Raw genomic sequence first — 20,462 nt, 5'->3', positions numbered from 1 at the left:
AGGCATGTACCCTCTAGATTATGGTGGATTCTTGCAGTATGAAAGGAAGTTTTTAAGCAAAGAAGAAAGTTGCATGAACAAGTATCCTATTATTTTCAAAAAAATCAGCAGCTCATACATTGTATCTTGATTTTATTTCACATGGCAACTCTTTAAAGTGGCTGTTTGTGTCCCACTGCGCAAAAGAAGAAAATGCACCCCAGACAGATGACATGACACTTGGCTGCTTCTTGTGACCTCAGGCTCCTTCTCGACATCTGTGAGTCTTTTTTGCCTCCTGGCTCATTGCCTCATTGTAGATTCCAACAGCAGCAACCTTGCCCAGGGGCAAGCTGAATGCAAGGTACAAGCAGGGGCTTGAACCCCTGTGAGCCACACTGTGCTCCCAGAATCTCCCCCAAAGCCTCTTCCAGCGTGTTTCCTCTCACTCAACCTTCACAGCCACCCCAGGAAGCCAAGGCAACTGTTTTACGTTACGGCTGAGGACGCAATGGGCCCATGACCTGCGTTCCCCAGTGCAGGCTCCTAGCGATGTCACAGCTACCGTCAGACTCTGTGAATCTCAGGAAACCTCCAGAGGAAGGTCAGGCCCTTCCCAACCACCTCCCTGCAGGTGCTTGCTGATCTCAGGGGCAGAAGGTGGTGACGGTCGAGAAGCAATGTGGGGCGGTTTCACCTGCACGCGGCACCCAAGGCTTTGGAATCACACAGCCTCTGGGTGCGAGTCTTTGCTCAGCTCTACCTCACTGAGTGGCCTTGGACAAGTCACTTCGCCTCTCTGGGCCCTAACATCACCTACTTCAGATGTTTGCTGAGGGTTCACAGCCTGGCGATAGCTGCAGACCCCCCAGCCCCTGCTGAGTGGGACACTCGCCGCTCACCCTATTGTTTCGGTTGTTGCCGCTGCTGTTGTGACCCTATCCTGGATAATCCCAGGGGTGGAGTCTGCTGCCCTCCACCCTTCGTCCAAAGGAGCTCTGGGACTAGGAGGCCTGGGTCCCCGGTGAGTGACCCCTGGGAAGAGTGGCTTGCCATGGCCCCAGAGAGGACTGGAGAGAGGCCCAGCAGGGGCTAGGAGGCCTGAGCCCAGTCGGTCTCTTGCCCTGGCTGAGAGCGCCTTTGCCTTGGGGCCTCTGGCATGACACTAGTGGGTTAGCAATCCCTGGAGTCCTCGCGTCTCTCACTTCTTTGGGTTTCCACGCACAGCGTGCAGGCAAGAAGCGTTTAAGGAGCAGCCTCGACACAGAGCCCCTGTGTCTCAACAGGCCCTGGCTTTTTGACCACCAGCCACCAGCCAGGCCCCGCTGTAGGTGCAGGGGCTTAAGAGCTGGACAGGGCAGATGAGCCTCCTACTCCTTGCTCCATGGAGCACACAAGCTGGTGAGGGAGAGAGACAATAAGTCAGTTTGCAATCCCGTAGAAAACCACAGGTTGTAAAAATCACTGGAAAGAAAAGAACAGAACCCTCTATACAAGACTCCAAAGGAGTCTTAGCAGGGAGGAGGTGTCCAGCAGCAGCCTCTCTGTGGAGACATGAAGGAGCAGGAGTCAGGCAGTGAACGGGGAGTTGTACATTAGCCAGAGGAAATAGCATGTTTGAGGGTCCTGCGGCAGAGGAGGTTGGCCCACAAAAGGCCAGAACTCCTGGGCACTGAGTGAAGGGAGCACGGGGAAAAGAGTTTCCAGCCGAGCGCAGTGGCTCACACCTGTAATCCCAGCACTTTGGGAGGCTGAGGCGGGTGGATCACTGGAGGTCAAGAGTTCAAGACCAACTTGGCCAACATGGTGAAACTCCAACTCTACTAAAAACACAAAAATTAGTTGGGCGCGGTGGCGGGCGTCTGTAATCCTAGCTACTTGGGAAGCTGAGGCAGGAGAATTGCTTGAACCTGGGAGGTGGAGGTTGCAGTGAGCCGGAATTACGCCACTGCAGTCCAGCCTGGGTGACAGGGTAAGACTCCATCTCAAAAAATAAAATAAATAAAATAAACTAATAAAATAAATAAGAAGAGGCATCAGAAGCCCAGCCAGAGCTTGGGAGTTACCTGATGTGCAGGGGGAGGCCGCTGAAGGGTGTTGGTTGAGGGAGGGGGTGATGTAATTTTGGAGTTGGAGTTAAGGGATTGGGTGTCCTCACGGTTTCCCTCATTCATGCCTTCACTCATGAGACAGTTACAGAGCACCAAGGCTCAGCGAGGTGCAGGACTGGCCTGGGGCGGGGGGTGAGGGGAACCTGTGCTGTCTGACCCCCCAGCAGCCTCTCCAGGGCCTCCTCGGCTGGGCTGATAGACCTGTGTTTTAGCTTGAACCTCTGTCCACCACCCTTCAGGGAGGACCTCACACACGCCTTGGCCGGCGTGTGATGGGCACTCCTAGGAGGCATGTGGTGTGAGCCAGAGTCGGATTGGAACTCAGGATGGGAACAACGCCTGCACAAGGAGAACGTCCATAAACAGCTGCAGAAGACCAAAAGGGAGGGGTGGAGGAGGGAGTCCTCCCTCCACCATTGCTGTTGTTATGACCCAGCCACTCCCTGGGGGCTCACTCCCTCTGGAAAATGGTAGGTTAGAAAAGACCAGTGATTCTCTCTCTTTCTCTTTTGCTTTTTTTTTTTAAGAGACCAAGTCTCGCTATATTGCCCAGGCTGATCTTGAGCGCCTGACCTCAAGCAGTCCTCCTGCCTCAGCCTCCCGAGTAGCTGAGATCACAGGTGCATGCCACTGCGCCCAGCTTGACATTGATTCTATGATAACAGCAGCCCGTGGAATGGTGGAAGCAGCCAGACACACTTGGGAATTACCTTGGGTGAGTCTATTGGAACCTCAGCTTCCCCATCTGTAAAATGGGATGGTTGTTACTCCCTTGCTGGGCCACTGTGAAGGTGAGACGTGCCGTAGGAGCACGCCGAGCACATAGTGGGGGCCTGGCCAGGGCAGCTGTTCTCACTGCATTTCAGAGGGGGTGGCTACAGCAGTCCCCAGCCTGCAGCAGGAGCTCTCAGCAGAGCCCCCTTCTCTGTCCTCACCCTTCTGGAGTTGCCACATGTTCCCTTCTCTTGCAGCCTCTGGGACTCCCAACTCCCGAGAGAGTGGCAGACACCAGGATATGGCGGTGTTGCCCAGGGCTGAGCCTTGAGGTAAAGTAGGGATCCCACTCCTCCCCCACACAGCATGGGCAGCCTTGGGGCCTCATGCAAGACGGGCCCGGCACCAGCCCCTACCGGGTTGCAAAAGCAGTGCAAAGGCCCAAAGAAAGGTGAGTAATGGAGGGAGGGAGAGCCACGTGGGTCAGGGGGGCTCCAAGATCCCTGGACTGCCAGTGCTGGGTGGAGCAGGGAGATGCCTTCACCTACCCAAACCTCAAATCACATGGATGGGAAGATACAGGCCCAAGCTGTCCCAGTGCACAACCCTCGCAGCTCACACACTATGTCAGCTTCCCTTCTCTCCCTCCCTTCCTTGTGCAGGGCAGGGCTACTTTAGGGCTGAGGCAGGGAGGCTCAGAGAGGTGCAGAGACTTGCCCCAGCCACATGGCTGGCAGTGCGCCTCTGATCAGCACTTCCTCTGTGCCAGGCTTCCACCTCCTTCATCTTCTTTAATCCTTGCAACAACCTTTCAAGGTGGGAGTGATTTGTTTTTTGTTTTGTGTGTGTGTGTGTGTGTTTTTTTTTTAGACAGAGTCTTGCTCTGTCGCCCAGGCTGGAGTGCAGTGGCACGATCTCCGCTCACTACAACCTCTACCTCCTGGGTTCAAGTGATTCTCCTGCCTTAACTTCCTGAGTAGCTGGGACTACAGGCACATGCCACTGCGCCCGGCTAATTTTTGTACTTTTAGTAGAGACGGGGTTTCACCGTGTTAGGGTCTCGAACTCCTGACTTCAGGTGATCCGCCTGCCTCGGCCTCCCAAAGTACTGGGATTACAGGTGTGAGCCACCGCACCCGGCCGGTGGGAGTGATTTTGCCCATTTTACAGATGAGGAAGCTGAGGCTCAGAAAGGTGAAGCTGATTACTCTCGCATGCAGGGAGTGGGACTCGCATAGAACCTTTATTCATTTGCTCACAAAGAAGCAGCTCAAGCAGACAAGCAGGTGCCCGGGAAGGACCCTGTGGCTGGAGATGCTGGAGGAAAGGCCTGCAGAGAAACTGCTGTCCTTCAGGGCCTGTCCCAGGGTAAAAGGAAGACCCAGGTCATAAACACTGTGAACCGGGGGAGCTGGAACCCCTAGCCTGGAGGGTTGGAGAAAAAGTCCCCCAAGAAGGGTGGAGGGAGGGCTTCTGAAGTGGGGCAAGGGGCCAGTAATAACCCAAGGAAGCAGCTACTGAAGACCAGGCACATAGTAAGCCCCCAGCAAATTCCAGTTCCCTTCTGCTCCTCCCTAGGGACACCAGTCCTGCCGACACCTCAAGCCACACACTCAGGGGCTCAACGTGCAGTCAGGAGCTCCCCGAGGTGACTGCAGGGTGGCCAATGCCCCTTGCCACTCTCCTACCACTTTCCCCCACTCCAGTCCTGCCTCAGCTTCACCAGAGCCCCCAGGATCCGTGTCCCCTGCACCCTGCATGACTGGACGCCTGGGTCATATCACACCACAGTTTGCCACACCTGACTGCACGGCGCCCCTGGCCAGCCAAGCTGGTCAACACCTCCAGGACAGCGGCCAAGGCAGTGGAACCCAGCAGAGGTGGAGGAGAAGGTAGGACCAGCAGACCCTCCTGACCCTGTTCTGATCGCACTCACTTACAAGGCCATCTGCTCGGCAGTGCGGCGAGCTCAGGGCACTGGGGCAGACAGTGGCACCCGCCCAGACACGTGCTCGCCTCTGGGGCCTGGCCGGCTGCTGGTCAGGAGGTCTGGCTGGCCTTCTTGCTGCAGCTCCCAGCCTGGCCAGGCTGCAGGGGTGCCTGGCTCCCCAGCCCACACTGTCCCCAGGCCAGAGACCCTGAGGTGGGAGTATGGAGGGTCTCCATGACCTAAGAGGAAGGGGAAGGGGTTTGGGGAGGGGAGGGACAGAGGCAGGCAGTGCATGTCCTCCTTAGGACACACACTGTGTCCTGGTCTGCATGTGGACCCCAGGGCTCTGGAGATCACGAAGAGCTCAGTGGCCCCTGCCCGGCAGGTCCCCAGGGCCCCCTAGAATGACCACCGAAGCCTCCTAATCACCTCCTTACATCTGCTTGGACCCTTTTAATCCAGGTTCGCCTAGGTCTCCAGGGTGCCTGTGTTCTCACGTCATAACATGTCACCCTGCCTGTCTAAAGCCTTCAGAGGCCTCCCGTGCCCCTAGTTAGTGACCCAAATCCTTGCCCTGGTGTGCACGCACCTCACCAGGCTCATCTCGCCTCACTACCCCCACCGCCATCTCCTGGCTGTCTGTGTCACACACACACACACACACACACACGCATTTTTGGCACTTTCATTTCAAAGACCTTCCTTCAGTTTTGTTTTTCCTGGCTACTCTGTGTTAACTTCTTTGCGCCTCAGTTCCTTCATCCAGCAAATGGGATACTTAATAGTTTCTTAGTTTTGTTTCCTCCAAAGACAGACCCTGAGATAAGTGTTCAGGGACAAGTAGTTTCTCTTGGAGGTTGCCCCAAAAGTAGCATGGAGGGGTGGAGAAGTGAGACAGGGATGGACCAAAAAAAGCCAACAAACTGTGCACTGCTCTGGGGGTACCCCTGCAAGCAACAGGGCCTCTATCGCCTGAGGGCCTCTGAGAGGCAGCATTAGCAGGAGACACCTCAGATCTGCCAGCCGTGGGGCAAGGAAGCTGGGGTATTTACACTCCAGCTCCCATCCGTCATTGGTGAGGGGAAGCAACAACTCCCAGCACTCCCATCCTGAGCCTCTCAGGCCTGCAGAGTGACCCAAGATGCTGGCAGCAAGCAGAGAACTGTCTTCAGGGTGCCCCTGGGTTGGGCTGAAGGAACATGGGCAGGACATTAATAGCCTCTGCTTTTGTTAGCTTCGCTCTCAACAGTGCTGTGCAAATTATAGTGCTTACCACGCTGTCTGGCACATAGTAAGTATTCATTGAGCCTCAGCTGGATTATAATTAATAATAATAAGGGCCTGTGATGATTAAGGATTAAGTCATTATGTTTCCTCCCTCCTCAGGGCCCTTGCCCAGGCTGTTCCCCCTGCCTGTCCCTCCTCTGCCCAGCTTCTCTCCACCTGGTGAATGAGTTATTCTTCAGCTCACAGCCTAAATGTCACCTCTTCCGGGAAGCATTCCTGGCACCACTGGTTTAAATCAGGTCCCTCCCGCTTAGATGTGCTCAGAGCTCTGACTCTGCCCCTTTTCTTTTTCTTTTTCTTTCTTTCTTTCTTTTTTTTTTTTTTTTTTTGTGTGAGACAGAGTCTCGCTCTGTCACCCAGGCTGGAGTGCAGTGGCGAAATCTTGGCTCACTGCAACCTCCGCCTCCCGGGTTCAAGCAATTCTCCTGCCTCAGCCTCTCAAATAGCTGGGATTACAGTCGCCTGCCACCAAGCCCGGCTAATTTTTGTAGTTTTAGTAGAGACGGAGTTTCACCATGTTGGTCAGGCTGGTCTCAAACTCCTGACCTCAAGTGATCTGCCCGCCTTGGCCTCCCAAAGTGCTGGGATTACAGGCGTGAACCACCGCACCTGGCCTCTGCCCCTTTTCTCTCGGAGCATTTCATCATCGCAGTTGCCACATTTCCATGGCTGGCTGTGATGATTTGCTTGTTGCCTGTCGCTCCTGCTGGACCAGGAGCTCCATGAGGGCACAGGCTAAGTCTGTTTTGTTAACAAAGACGTGTCTGGGGAGGAGCCCAGTGTCAGCACGCAGGGAGAGCTGGACCAGGCACTGGTGGAGTGGAGAGAGAGGAATCTGAGGATCAGTGGGGGAACAGGCACAAACTGAAAAGAACACAAAGAGGTGAATTCTAGACTACAGCCATTGTGAACTAAGTAGCTTTAAAAAAAAAAATTTTTACCCCCATCTCAGGGGTTTCACTCTGTCACCCAGGCTAGAGTGCATTGATATGATCTTGGCTCACTGTAGTTTCAACCTCCTGGGCTTAGGTGACCCTCTCACCTCAGCCTCTCGAGTAGCTGGGACTACAGGCATGTGCCATCACACCCAGCCAATTTTTTGTATTTTCGTAGAGATGGGGTTTTGCCATGTTGCCCAGGCTGGTCTCAAACTCCTGGACTCAAGTGATCTGCCTGCCTCAGCCTCCCACAGTGTTGGGATTACAGGCGTGAGCCACCACGATCGGCCTAAGTAGCTATTTACGATGTAAATGGACAGACAAAGCTATGTGTCTGTGGGACCTACTTCATTTTCCTCCTGAGCATCCAGGAAGACTACATTTCCCAGCCTCCTTGTAGCCTGCTGGGGTCATGTGACCATCTGTGACCAATGGAGTGTGGGAGGAAGTGATGTGCAGCATCACTCCCAAAGGACCCTCCACACACTCTCTTTCCAGACTTACCAACCCCAGAGCAAGTATCAGCACACCTCTTCTGTAAACACTCGAGGGCAAATATTCTGTTTTCTGGGCCACACAGTCTCTGTCGCAGCTACTCAACTCTACCATCGAAGTGCTAAAGCAGCCCGTGTAACTGAATGAGTGAGGCTGAGTCTCAATAAAACTTTATTTACAAAAACAGGTCATTGTTTGCAAACTTCTGTGCTACAGGATGGTGGGGCCACTGGACAGAAGGAACATGAGCCCCCATGTAACTGGGGAGCAAAGCCCACCTGCCTCACCACAGCCAACTCTCATTCAACTGAGTGAGAACTAAAACTCTTGTGTTAAGACACTGAGGCATTTGGCATTGTTGTTATAACCATTAGAATATCCCAACTCATATGGAATGTCACAGAGGAGGTGACAGTCATCTTGGGCCTTGACAGATAAGTAAGTCATGCTCCAGGTGGACAAGATGAGGAAGGGCATTCTCAGGGAAGATGGAACCCATGTGATCCAACCGATTGAAGGGTGGAGTGGAGTGTGGATGATATCAGAGGGCTTGTGCTACAAAACGACATAAACAGTGGTTATAAGGGAGTGGAAGTAGGAACCGAATGTGTGAAGGACAAAACAAGGGAGAGAGGGATGGAAAGGGATCGTGCACTTGGCTGCCTCTGTCTCCTAATGCACCTTGCATTTCCTACCATTTCTGTGTCTTCATCCATGTGGCACCCCTGCCTGCCATGCCCTCCCTTCTTCTACCTGCTCAAGTCCCATCCTTCCTTCAGGACTTGATGAAATCCCTGCTGGCTCCATGTGCAGAGAAGCAACAGGACCCATCAGCAAGAGTGCAGGCTTTGAGGCCAAATAGTCCTGTGTTCAAATCCTGCTCTGTCAATAAGAGAAGCTAAAAAATGAACTATTAAATATAAAGGAACCAAGACTTCCTTGGCTTGAAAACTTTCTTCCTTCCCAAAATAAGAAATGACTTCCAGGCAAAGATTAAAGCCAGGGTCATTAATAGGAAAATAGTTTAAAGATGAATCCAAGGACATAACTATAAAGCCTTTTATTAAGACCTTAGAAAGACTTAAGGTGGTACCTCATAGACCTTTTCAAGCAGACAAAGGCCTTCTAAGGATCTTAACAGCATATGTTGAAGACCCTTTCTGTTAAATAATAGAGCTTCTAAGAATCATAAAGGCAGCCTTGCCAAGAGCCCAAGGTGAAAAAGAGATTTGTGGATATGGCTTTTGTCTAATGGAAGGGATTATAAATTGACTCATAAGATAAGAAACCTACACAATTTTTAAAGGGCCTGTTTTGGCTTTGAATTAAAGGGTTAGAGAGGGCACCAAATGAAAAGAGAGATTTTGGACCATAAAATCTTCATGGGCAGAAAGCAAGTTAAGAAAAACTGCTCAGCTGCAAACACTGGACATTTCTTACAGAAACCCAAGGGTGGTCCAGAGGAAAGAACCAAGAGGCCAGAGTCAGGAGCCATGTGGGGAATCTTTCCCAGGCAGTTGGACTGAGGACTATTCCAGGAACTGGCAATATGTGCCATAATAGTTCATTTTTTAGCTTCTCTTATTGACAGAGCAGGATTTGAACACAGGACTATTTGGCCTCAAAGCCTGCACTCTTGCTGATGGGTCCTGCTGCTTCTCTGCACAGGGAGCCAGCAGGGATTTCATCAAGTCCTGAAGGAAGGATGGGACTTGAGCAGGATGGATTTCAGAATTGCTCTGGACCAGTGACTCCTGTGTGTCTCCTGCTCCTCCGCTTTTAGTTTGGGGGTGCCTATGGTGTTAATAGTTTTCCTATGCCTGAACCACCATTGTGGAGTAGGAGGGGGAGGGCAGATAACTCATTTCTTTAGCTCACAGGTCTTCCCATTGAATGAAGTGGCACTCAAGGAGCTGTACCCAAGAAAGGCCACCTGAGGAGATGCATTCCCACCTGCACCTGGCTGGCTCCTGGCCTTTGAGCGGCTGCCATACAGATCTCAAGGGAAAGGAATGAATAGGTTTTGCATGTGGGGCATGTATTCCTCTGCTAGGACTGCCATAGCAAAATTCTACAGCCTGGGTGGCTAAACCAACAGGAATTTATTCTCTTGCTGTTCTGGAGGCTGGAAGTCCAAGATCAAGGTGTCAGCAGGGTTGGTTTCTTCTGAGGTCTCTCTCTGGCTTAGAGTTGGCTGCTTCCTCCCTGTGTCTTCCCACAGTCTTGCTTCTGTGTGTGTCTGTGTCCCAGTCTTTTTTAATAAGGACAACAGTCATATTGGATTAGGGCCCATGATAATGACCTCATTGTCATTTAATCACCTCTTTAATGAACCTGTCTTCAAATACAGTCACATTCTAAGGTACTGGGATTAGGGCTTCAACATATGAATTTTTGGGGAGACAGAGTTCAGCTCATAATAGGGGTGGGTATGAATCATCGTGAATAGCTGTGGCCAGAAGGCAAATTGCGGCAGATGGTATTTTCCAAAGATGCTCCCACATGCTCATCCTGCAAGTGACCCTGCCAGTCCTCCATCAAGAGGTGGGGTCTGTGTCCCCTCCCCTTCAACCTGGATGGATCTCTATGACTGCCTGAGAGCCGAGCAGTACTCCTAAGAGAATACAACTGCAGCGACGCTATGTGACTTCTGACAGTAGGTCAGAAAAGGCACCACAGCCCCTTAGAACCCAGTCACCATGCAGTAAGGGAGCCCAGAACACATGGTGATGGGCACATAGGAGTTTCAGCTGCCAGCTCCAGGTGAGCTCCCAGCCCCCGGACACATGAGGGAGGAGGCCTTCAAACCAGCTTCAGCCCCAGCCCCTAGCCCTCAGCCCCCATCTAACCGTGACTGAGTGAAAGACCCTGGCGAGAACTACATGGCTGAGCTCAGTCAACCTCCCCATGCATGAGAGATGTAATCACAAATGATTGGTGTTGGTTTGCACCCAGTAAGTTTGGGGTGGTTTGCAATGCAGCAAGAATAACTGATACACTGGAGGGGTGAATATGAGCCAGAAAGAAGGAAGGAGGCAAAGATGGGAGGAAAGAAGAACTCTAAGTGTTGCAGGTCAGGGACTTTGTCTTATTCACTGGAGTCCTGGCACATACTAAGTGCTCAGTGAAACCTTGTTGAATAGTGAATTAGTGAAGGGAGACAGAGGGATGGCAATTTTGAGTGCACTGAGTTTTTTTTACTGCACATTTGGAGACAAAATGTCCAAATGTGCATTTGTCCAAATGTGCATCTCCAGGATGGACCCGGGAGAGACTATACATTCCCAGACAGAACCCTTGGCTGTCCAAGAGCCTCTGAGGGCACAGTTGAAGAGGAGAGACAATGGAGTCAATGGGTTTGACCTGGGCCTTAGGGGAACAGTTTGCTCCTGAGCAACCAGCAGCCACCCTCCTAGGACTGAAAACTCCCAGCAGGGCAGGGCATGGCAGGGCAGGGCAGGGCAGGGCAGGGCAGGGCAGAGCAGGGCAGGTGTGGAGTCTAGAAAAGAACTTGCCTCAAAGCCGGGCCTCTGAGGGCTGGACATGCCTGGCCCAAGGCAAGAACACCAACCAGTTTTCAAGGGCCGGTCCAGTCGTCATCCAACCGCCCCCGCCCCCAGCTGTCACTTGGGTGTGCCTTGAATTGCTTTCTGTCTTACCCGTCAGCCCTTCCTTCCCAACTCTCCAGCCTTCAGCCTTGGTATATTCCTGGGTTGTTTCACTTCCTCTGCTTCTATTTTCAGCAAACAGCCCAATCTCATTTAGGGGGCAGGCAGAAGAATCAGTTTTATTTGCTTTTCATTTATTTTCTTCCTTTCATCCCATTCTTCTCCTTTTAACGAATTTCCTTCCGGGACTCTTTAATGTTCTTTATAAGGCTTCCACTGTTCTTGTTAGAATTCTAGTCCCGCTCCCTAATATCTCCCCTGGGCTCTTTTGCTAATTTTTCTTCTCTCCGTGTGTTGCTCTCATTCCTCTTCTTTGCCACTTTGTCCCTCTCTTTCTCATCTCATCTGCCCTCATGCCTTCAAGTTCTTGAGTATCTGCCTTACCCCCTTCCCCTCCACAAATTCCTCCCTCCTTTTTACCTCCTTCTCTCTGCTTCTCCTCCTCAAACTGGGTTGTGAATGTTGTCCGCCTCGGAGCAGGACACACTGTAAGGCTGAGGCTCCCCGAGGGCCAGGTTGTGATCATTTTATTTTTACAACGTCCTTGGATAGGTGGAAGTGCTTGTGCAGGGTGGGATTTGATGCTGGCTGGGAGGGGACCAAGACGGCTAATAGCACTTGTGATTAATATAGGTCAGTTGTCGCGCTGTGTCCCAGTGGTCCCGGTGAGAGGAGAACCTTGTCATCTGGGGCCCATTTTTGCAGAGGTGGCCTCGGTGCTGTCTAGGGGAAGTTGGGACTGTGGCAGGCGAGGGAGATAGGCCGGCTGCTCTTCTGGAACCAGACGGGTGGTGCAAGAGGCTCTCCCTCCTCCTGCACCTCCTTGGGGCCTGGGAATACAGGAGGGGCCCTCACGAGGGCACTTCTCCTTCCTACACACTGGATCCTGGGGCTGCACCCTTTCTAGCACAAGAATGGAATGGCAGGATGAGGCATGCTGGGGAAACAGCAGCAAACACCTCTGCTCGTTCCACTAAAAGTGTTGAGTGCCCTTTTGGTGCCAGGCACTGTGCTGGGGATGGGGACTTGACAGTGAGCAGAGCAGACATGGTGCCTGCCCTCATGGAGCTTACATTCTAAGAGGGAGACAGACATTAAAAAACAAACAAGTAAAAATGCAATGGCAAATCATGCAGAGTGAAAGAGATGGCATGCTGTGGGAGGGAAACCCAGGGAACCTAATTTAGAGGAGCAGAAAGATGCATTTCTGAGAAAATGATATTTCTCATGCAATCTGAAGCAGAAACAGGTGTTGCCCAGTTGAAGAGCATGAGAGAGGTATGTTCCAAGCAGAGTAGAAAGCATGTGCATAGGACTTGGAACAAGAAAAATCACAGAGTGGGCCAGGCGCGGTGGCTCCCACCTGTAATCCCAGCACTTTGGGAGGTCGAGGTGGGCGGATCACGAGGTCAGGAGTTCGAGACCAGCCTGGCCAACACAGTGAAACCTCATCTCTACTAAAAATATAAAAAATTAGCCAGGCGTGGTGGTGGGCGCCTGCAACCCCAGCTACTCAGGAGACTGAGGCAGGAGAATCACTTGAATCTGGGAGGCGGAGGTTGCAGTGAGCCGAGATCGTGCCATTGTACTCCAGCCCAGGTAACAGTGCAAGACTCCATCTCAAAAAAAAAAAAAAAAAAAAAGCACAGGGTGACAAAAAGATGAAAAGGTGGCCAGGGGCTGAAAAGAAGCTAAGGGACAGGGTCAGGTGGCAAGACATAGGGAGAGCTTGCTCACACAAGGTGTCAGGAATGCATGTGAACCCATTTAAGGGTTTCAAGCAAGGAAGTACTGTGATCTGATTTCTGTTTCAAAAACTTCCTTGGCTGCTGTGCAGAGAAGAGGCTTCAGAACAGATTAAGCCGTAGAAGACCCCTAAGGAGCATCTGAGTGGGAGATTGCAGCAGCTTAAACAGAGAAAATGCTGGCCAGGTGCAGTGGCTCCTGGACTCTTTGCTTCTCCTGGACACCAGACTCTTGAGGTCCCTTCCACCTCTCTGTTTTCTCCCTCCCACCTCCCATCCTCTGCTCATCCCATAAACATCTGTGAGCCTTGGGACTCCTTTCCTCACCCCTTCTCTACTCACCCAACACACTTTTCCTGAGCAATTCTCTTTTCATGCCCATGATTGCAGTTACCGCCAGGACTAGTTTGGGTAATTCTAGGAACAGATAAACCCCCAAAGCTCAGTGGCTTAACGCAGTACAAATTCCTCTCTCCCTTACATAAAGTCCATTCAGTAGCAAAAGGAAAGAAGGGGGTCTCTCAGCACTTTGGGAGGCCAAGGCAGGAGTATCATTTGAGCCCAGGAGTTTGAGACCAGGCTGGGCAATGTAGCAAGACACTGTCTCTACAAAAAAATTAAAATTCAAAAATTAGCGGGGCATGGTGGTGCACACCTGGAGTCCCAGCTACTCAGGAGGCCAAGGTGGTGGGATCTCTTGAGGCTGGTAAGTCGAGTGTGGCAATGGGTCATGATGGCACCACTGCACTCTAGTCTGGGTGACAGAGTGAGACTCACCTCTGTAACCCTGGCACTTTGGGAGGCCGAGGCGGGCAGATCACCTGAGGATGGGAGTTCAAGACCAGCCTGGCCAACATGTCAAGACCCCATCTCTACTAAAAATACAAAATTAGCCAGGTGTGGTGGCGCATGCCTGTAATCCCAGCTACTCGGGAGGCTGAGGCAGGAGAATCACTTGAACCTGGGAGGTAGAGGTCGTGGTGAGCTGAGATTGTGCCATTGCACTCTAGCCTGGGCAACAAGAGCAAAACTCCATCAAAAAAAAAAAAAAAAAAAAGGAAGGAAAGAAAATGTTGAGCTCTTGGCAGTTTATGAATTCCTCTCCCTTGACATTGGGAGAGCAGCGTGATTACGACCATTCGACAGATGAGAAAACTGAGTCTTCAAGAGGTTACAGTGGTTTGCACAACATGACTCATTTAGTAAGTGCTGGCTGTGGACTGTGAGCCCAGGTGTTCCAATTCCCAGGCCCTGCCTCCTTCCTTTCTGTGATATGGTCTTAGGAGAGTTAAAGAAGTGGGTCAAGAGAGAGCTCAAAAATAAGCCACTGGGCGTTTGAAGTGTGCATGCTTTGGGCTTCCTCTTTCTTGTTGTGCTTTTATTGAAATTTTGAAATCTTAAGCTTCCTAAGTCTTGGTTTCCTAACCTGTGAGATGGGAACGATGACTGCTGCCCACTTCCTGGGCTACTGTGAGACTTAAACAATGGTAGATGTAAAGCACTTAAGAGAATGTCTGGCACACAGTAGGTGCTCAATCAATGTCAGTCTTCCTTCCCTTTGAAGAGGACAGAGGATCCAGCCTGTCTGGCTTTGAGAGCTGGTGACATATGCCCACTGTCATGCAGTTGACTGTGGGTGATGGATTTGACCATCAGCCCTGCTGCAGCCCCAGCACAGGCTCTGAGAGCCAGCCAGAAGGCTGAGTCAGTTCTCTGGGTGAGTTCCCATGCTCTGGCCACGAATTTATGTAGGAGGATCCAGTCACACAGCTGCCTTCTGGCCGGGATGTCCCTGCACAGTCCCCAGCAGCAAGGCCTCCCTGAGAACATGGCTTGCGATGGGGCCTGATTCCGTCTCCTTCTAGCCACATCCCCAACTCCTGGGTTCAGCCAACTGGCAGGTGTTTCCTGGCTCAGGAAATGCGAGAGAAAGAAGCCTGTCCCTGCCCACCTAGAACTCCCTTGTCAGCATCGTCATTTGTCTGTGCTCTCATGGGGCCTCACAACAGAGTCTCAAGGTGGGTGGCATGCTCTTCCTCTGGACAGATGAAGAAAAGGATGCTCAGAGAGGTAGGGTGACTATTCCCCGGTGATAGGATGGTAAGTGGACAGGCTCCCCCAACCCTGCTCTTGTCCAATGTGCGCACAGATTCAGGGTCAATGACGGCCAAGTGAATTGAGCCTGCATCCCTTGATGACCAGAGGGAGCCAAGCCCCCTTCTCTCTTCTTGCTACTGAATGGACTTTGTGTAAGGGAGAGAGAAATTTGTACTGTGTTAAGCCACTGAGCTTTGGGGGTTTATCTGTTTCTAGAATTACCCAAACTAGTCCTGGTGGTAACTGCAGAATGAAAAGAGAATTGCTCAGGAAAAGTGTGTAGGGTGACTAGAGAAGGGATGAGGGAAGGAGTCCCGAGGCTCATAGATGTTTATGGGATGAGCAGAGGACAGGAGGTGGGAAGGAGAAAACAGAGAGTTGGTAGGGACCCCAAGAGTGTGGCGTCACATCAGCCAAGGTAAACAGGGGGTTGGAGAAGGGAAGAGGGGTCAAAATGCCCAAGGCTACCCAGAACTCCAGTGACTTAGATCTGAATGTGTCCATTGTATTAGTAACATAGAAGTACCCGGTGCCCCGGCTAAGATGGGTTTACTGGGGGGATGGGGCAGAAATAAGATGACTCCAGCTTCAGAAAGTGGGTCTGAGGATAGACAATGGCTGCAGGCCTGGTTTGAAAGCCTGGGCTGCAGAGGGCCATAGAGCTGCTGGAGGGTTTAGGGCACTTCTTTTAAGAAGACAGAGTCTGGGGCATGTTTATAGCCAGGGAGGAAGAGCCAGGAGGAGGAGGAGGAGGCACTCAAGACGCAGGGCTTCATTTTTGCCCTATCTATGCTTTTCATCTCAGCCTGTCTCAAATCCTATTTGAAAATAGAGTATAAATAAATGATCAAATAATAAGACAGTGTTCATTCCCCGCCAGCCAGTGACCTTGAAAGGGTCTTCACAACTGTCTTTGTTCTCTCCTGGCTTGTGTCAGATTTACTCTGTCTTCCCCAACAAACACTGACTGGGCACCTGCCCTGTGCCAAGCCCCAGGCTCAGGATACAGAGCAAGAGCCAAGCCTCTGCCCTCAAGGAGCTCACAGTCTGATGGTGCAATGGACACAGAGCCATGACCCAGGGGGACACTGGGACCCATACACTGAGAAATGCCATAGGTATGTCACTGCAGGAAAGGAAGAAGGGATTAAGTGTTTCCCAGGACTGAGGAGGGTGGGAGTGTCCTGGAGGGCCTCAGGGAAGAGGCAACACCTTAGCAGGGCTTTGAATGACACCCAAGAGTCCACTGGGCAGAAAAAGGCACAGCATGTGCAAAGGCCCTGAGGTGTGACAGAGCAGGAGCCTATAAGGGCTTTGGCATGGGTGGAGCCCAAAGGTGAGAACAGCAGCCGAGCCAACAGCTTACACTGCAGGGTCATTTTTGTTTTCTGCAGACTCTAATGATACTGTGTACAAGGGCATGAAATGATGCTCTGTGGCTCCAGTGTCAGGGAGAAATTTGAGGATCCAAGGAAAACTACTGGGGATTCATCCACAGGGTGTCCACTGCGTGCAAGGCAGTGCTCCAGAAGCTTGTGACATGTGGGGAACAAAACAGGCAAAGAGTTTCACCCTGGGGGAGCTGATATAAGTCAGACAAAAACCAGCAATCATAAATCGCCTTCAGCAAATTCTCCTAAAGTAGATACTTAAGTGAAATCCTTCAATAAGGGTATCAGAAGGTGATACTTGGTATGAAACAAAGAAAAAGTAAGACAGCATGAGGGAGAGGAGGGGCATGGGGTGTGAGGTGTGGACAATTCAACCTTAGTGTGGTCAGGGAAGAAGAAGCTCACTGAGCAGACTCGCAGGAGATAAGGAAGTGAGCCATGTGCGTAGCAAGAGGGAGGAGGGAGCGGCTGGTGCAAAGGCCCTGCGGCAAGAGCCAGCCTGGCGTGGGGGGTGACTGCAAGGGACCAGTGTGGCTGAGCAGAGCAGGCAGGAGAGAGCTGTGGGACCTGAGTCCAGATCAGGAGGGTCCTGGGGGCCCTTATACCTTTGGCTTTTACCCTGAGCAAAATGGAAGTCACAACCTAGGCTTGAGCAGATAGGGGACACAGTCTGACTCCTGTCTTCAAAGGATCATCCAGTCTCTGTGTTGGGAAGGGATGAAGGTGGGGCCAGTGTAGGAGCTGGGAGCAGGGTAGGAAGATAATGGGGTAATCCAGGCAAGAAAGGATGGTGGCTCAGACTAGGGTGGAGGTGGTAGAAGGGAAAGAGGGGATCAATTCCTGACCCATGCATGATTTCCAAATGGATGAGATGTGGGCAAGAGAGAAAGAGAGGAAGCCAGGGATGACTGCAGGGCTTTGGACTGAGCATGAGGAGGATGGAGTTGCCAGCCTGTGAGGTGAAGGAAGTTGCTTGAGTAGCAGGGTCGGGGAGTGAGGGAGCCCAAGAGTATGGATGTGTGGGGCTTGAGGTGTCTTCCAGCCATCCCTGTGAGGTGTCAAGAAGGCTGTTGGAGAAGCCAGTCTAGGATGCAGAAGCCAGCTGTACTGGAGATAGAAATCAGGGAGTTGGCAGGGCACAGTGGCTCATGCCTGTAATCCCAGCAGTTTGAGAGGCCGAGGCGGTCGGATCATTTGAGGTTAGGAGTTCAAAACCAGCCTGGCCAACATGGTGAAACCCCATCTCTACTAACAATACAAAAATTAGCCGGGCATGGTGGCGCATGCCTGTAGTCCTACTACTTGGAGGGCTGAGGCAGGAGAATCACTTGAACCCGGGAGGCAGAGGTGGCAGTGACCTGAGATTGCGCCATTGCACTCCAGTTTGGGAGACAAGAATGAAACTCTGTCTCAAAAAAACAAAAAACACCTGTAGTCCCAGCTACTCGGGAGGCTGAGGCAGGAGAATGGCGTGAACCCGGGAGGCGGAGCTTGCAGTGAGCCGAGATCGCGCCACTGCACTCCAGCCTGGGCGACAGAGCGAGACTCCGTCTCAAAAAAAAAAAAAAAAATAAAAAAAAATAAAAAAAAACAAAAAACAAACAAAAAAAACCCACAAACAAACAAAAAAACAGAAATCTGGGAGTTATTGATGTGTAGCCAGCATGCGTGAGGATGTTCCCATTTGTCCCCAAGGATCTAGACATGACACAGGGAGGAGGAGGTGAAGGCCCTGTAATATAATAGAGTCAGGAATATTTTGTAAAGAGCACCATCAAAGCCATATTAATAGGAGGACTGTGTGTGTTTCTCATGTCGATCAAGCTGTGCTGTCTTGGAAAATCAAATACTTTCGTGTTTACCTTGAAGTAAATCTAAAGAAACCAGCCAGTGCCACTGCTGAAGTTGAGACACCAAGTTGAACCCAAGCACCTTCCATGTTTTCCCAGCAACGTCCCTCGGCCTCAATTTACTCGTCCATAAAATGGGCACAAGTCTCCCCATAAGAATGCTGGGAAAAACAAACAGTGACAATGTTTGATGCTGTGGCTTTTATGATTAGGATTGCCCTTACTATCGTTAAAGGGCCGGGCACGTAGTAGGTGCTCAGAACGATAACGATCTTCATACTTCATAACACCAGTTGGGGAGGATGGCGAGTCCAGCCCTTCCTGGCTGGGGCCCCTGGAACACAGCACAGGCAGCAGCTGCCAGCTGGTCACATGGTCAATTAATGCCAGCTGTGGTGAGCGCCCATCTGACGCCGCACGAGCATCTGCCTGGTAGGAACCGAACCCAGACCTGTGAGCTCAGGCTTCATGGGGATCCCAACAGCCCCAAGGCCTGGGAGGGCCAGACCTGGCCACACACCCCAGCCTGGACCCCGACGTGAACTGGAGCCCAAGACGAGAAGAGTAATAAGAATGGCAGAGTCATTTGTTGAGAGCCAGGCCCTGTTCTAAGTGCCTTAAATGTCATAATTCATCAATACACAGAGAACAAAGGGGTTCCCAGCAGGCAAAGAGCAGGGTCCCCCAACACCATGCTTAGGGTACCAGAGAGGATTATTTGATTACAAACAATGGAAACCAACTGTGGCTGACTAAAGCAAATAAAATAGGGAGGCCGGGTGCGGTGGCTCACACCTGTAATCCCAACAATTTGGGAGGCCGAGGTGGGAGGATCACTTGAGGCCAGGAATTCAAGACCAGCCTGGGCAACATTTAAAAAAAAAGTTTTTTAATTAGCTGGCTATGGTGGTGCATGCTTGTAGTCCCAGCTACTCAGGAGGGCTGAGGCAGGAAGATTGCTTGAGCCCAGGAGTTTGAGGTAGGAGTGAGCTATGATCACGTCACTGCACTCCAGCCTGGGCAATAGAGCAAAACTTCCCATCTATAAATAAATAAATAGATAGATAGATAGATAGATAGATAGATAGATAGATAGATAAAATAGGGGTGGGGGGTTTTATTTGGAGGATATTGGCTAGTCCACCGCATGGGATCTGAAAACGAGGACCTGAAAATGGGCAGGAACTGCAGCAGCTCCCAAGCCTGGGAAGCTGGAGCTACTCGATGGCCTCGTCGGTCCAGGGCTGGAATGACTGCTCTTTGCTGTTTGCTTCTCTCTCTTTGGGGATGGGGTGCTTGTCCCTGTTGCTGTCTGTTCCTGGCTCAGGGTCCAGGACAGAGGGTCTGATGAGCTCAGTTTAGGTCAGTGTCTAAGGGAGGGCAGGAAGCCTTAATGGACTGGGCCCCAAGACTGCACCCGATGAGGAAGAAGCGATGGCTCTAAAAGACATTAGGGTGCTGGAACCAGAAGGAGGAGGAATAGACTCTGGGTGACCCTAAATAACAAACATCCGTGACTCCTGGGTCTCTGAAGACAAGCAGACCCAGATCCAAATCCCGATTCTGCCACTAGCTGCCCATGTAAACTTGGACAAGTTCTTTTGTGTCTGAGCCTTCGTTTCCTCATCTGTAAAATGAGGATAATGAAACCTGCTGTGAGTGTCCTGAGAAGGCACTGTCCGGGGGCTCTGTGAATAGGACTGCGTGTAACAGGATGCCAGGAGGTCCTGGGGGCTCCTCCTACCCCAGCTTCCCTCTTAAAGGGCTCTGAAGGGGCTCCAAAATTTCACTGGGAAGAACAAAGTTACTAAATCCTCCAGAGCCATCTCAAAGAAGGTGTCATTCTTGGAGTCCTAGGATTTTCTATAGCTCCAGTGACAAGAGACACCAAACGATAGGGCAGCATTTACCAGGGAGAGATGCAAGAGAGGTGTTGAGGGAAGCAGGCAGAGTGCCCCGCTGCCTTTCTATGAGCCCAGGAGCGCCCGACACCTAATCTCACCTGCCCCTCCCCAGGTCAGGCACCATGAGCATGTCTCCAACCACTCTGAGCCATTAAGCCTGCAATGCACCCTGAGCCACCAGGTTTCAACAACCCCATGGTGCATGGAGAAAGCAACAGTGGAGATGGCAGGGCAGAGAGAAGGGTGGCCGCTCTCTGGTGTAGCAAGGACTCACAGGTTTCCTGTGGCTTGGGTGGACATCACAGTAGGTGGTATGGACTTAAGCCAAGGTCCACCTTGCTATCAAGATCAGG

The 20,462-nt window shown here is 51.6% G+C and overlaps 2 long non-coding RNA genes across 2 annotated transcripts in view; one reads left to right on the top strand and one right to left on the bottom strand.

Moving 5' to 3' along the window:
* The window catches only part of CACNG2-DT (CACNG2 divergent transcript), a 63,214-nt gene that overhangs the window by 18,106 nt on the left and 24,646 nt on the right, over window positions 1–20,462 (bottom strand). The gene's annotated exons all lie outside the window — the stretch shown is intronic.
* Window positions 2,643–4,809, top strand: LOC124905112 (uncharacterized). Its single transcript, XR_007068090.1, has 3 exons — window positions 2,643–2,805; window positions 3,062–4,172; window positions 4,383–4,809. It is a non-coding gene; the product is annotated as an uncharacterized LOC124905112 (long non-coding RNA).

Source organism: Homo sapiens, chromosome 22 (assembly GCF_000001405.40).
Source record: "Homo sapiens chromosome 22, GRCh38.p14 Primary Assembly".
In the NCBI taxonomy this organism is placed as follows: domain Eukaryota; kingdom Metazoa; phylum Chordata; class Mammalia; order Primates; family Hominidae; genus Homo; species Homo sapiens.
This window is presented reverse-complemented; position numbering and strand designations above follow the sequence as displayed.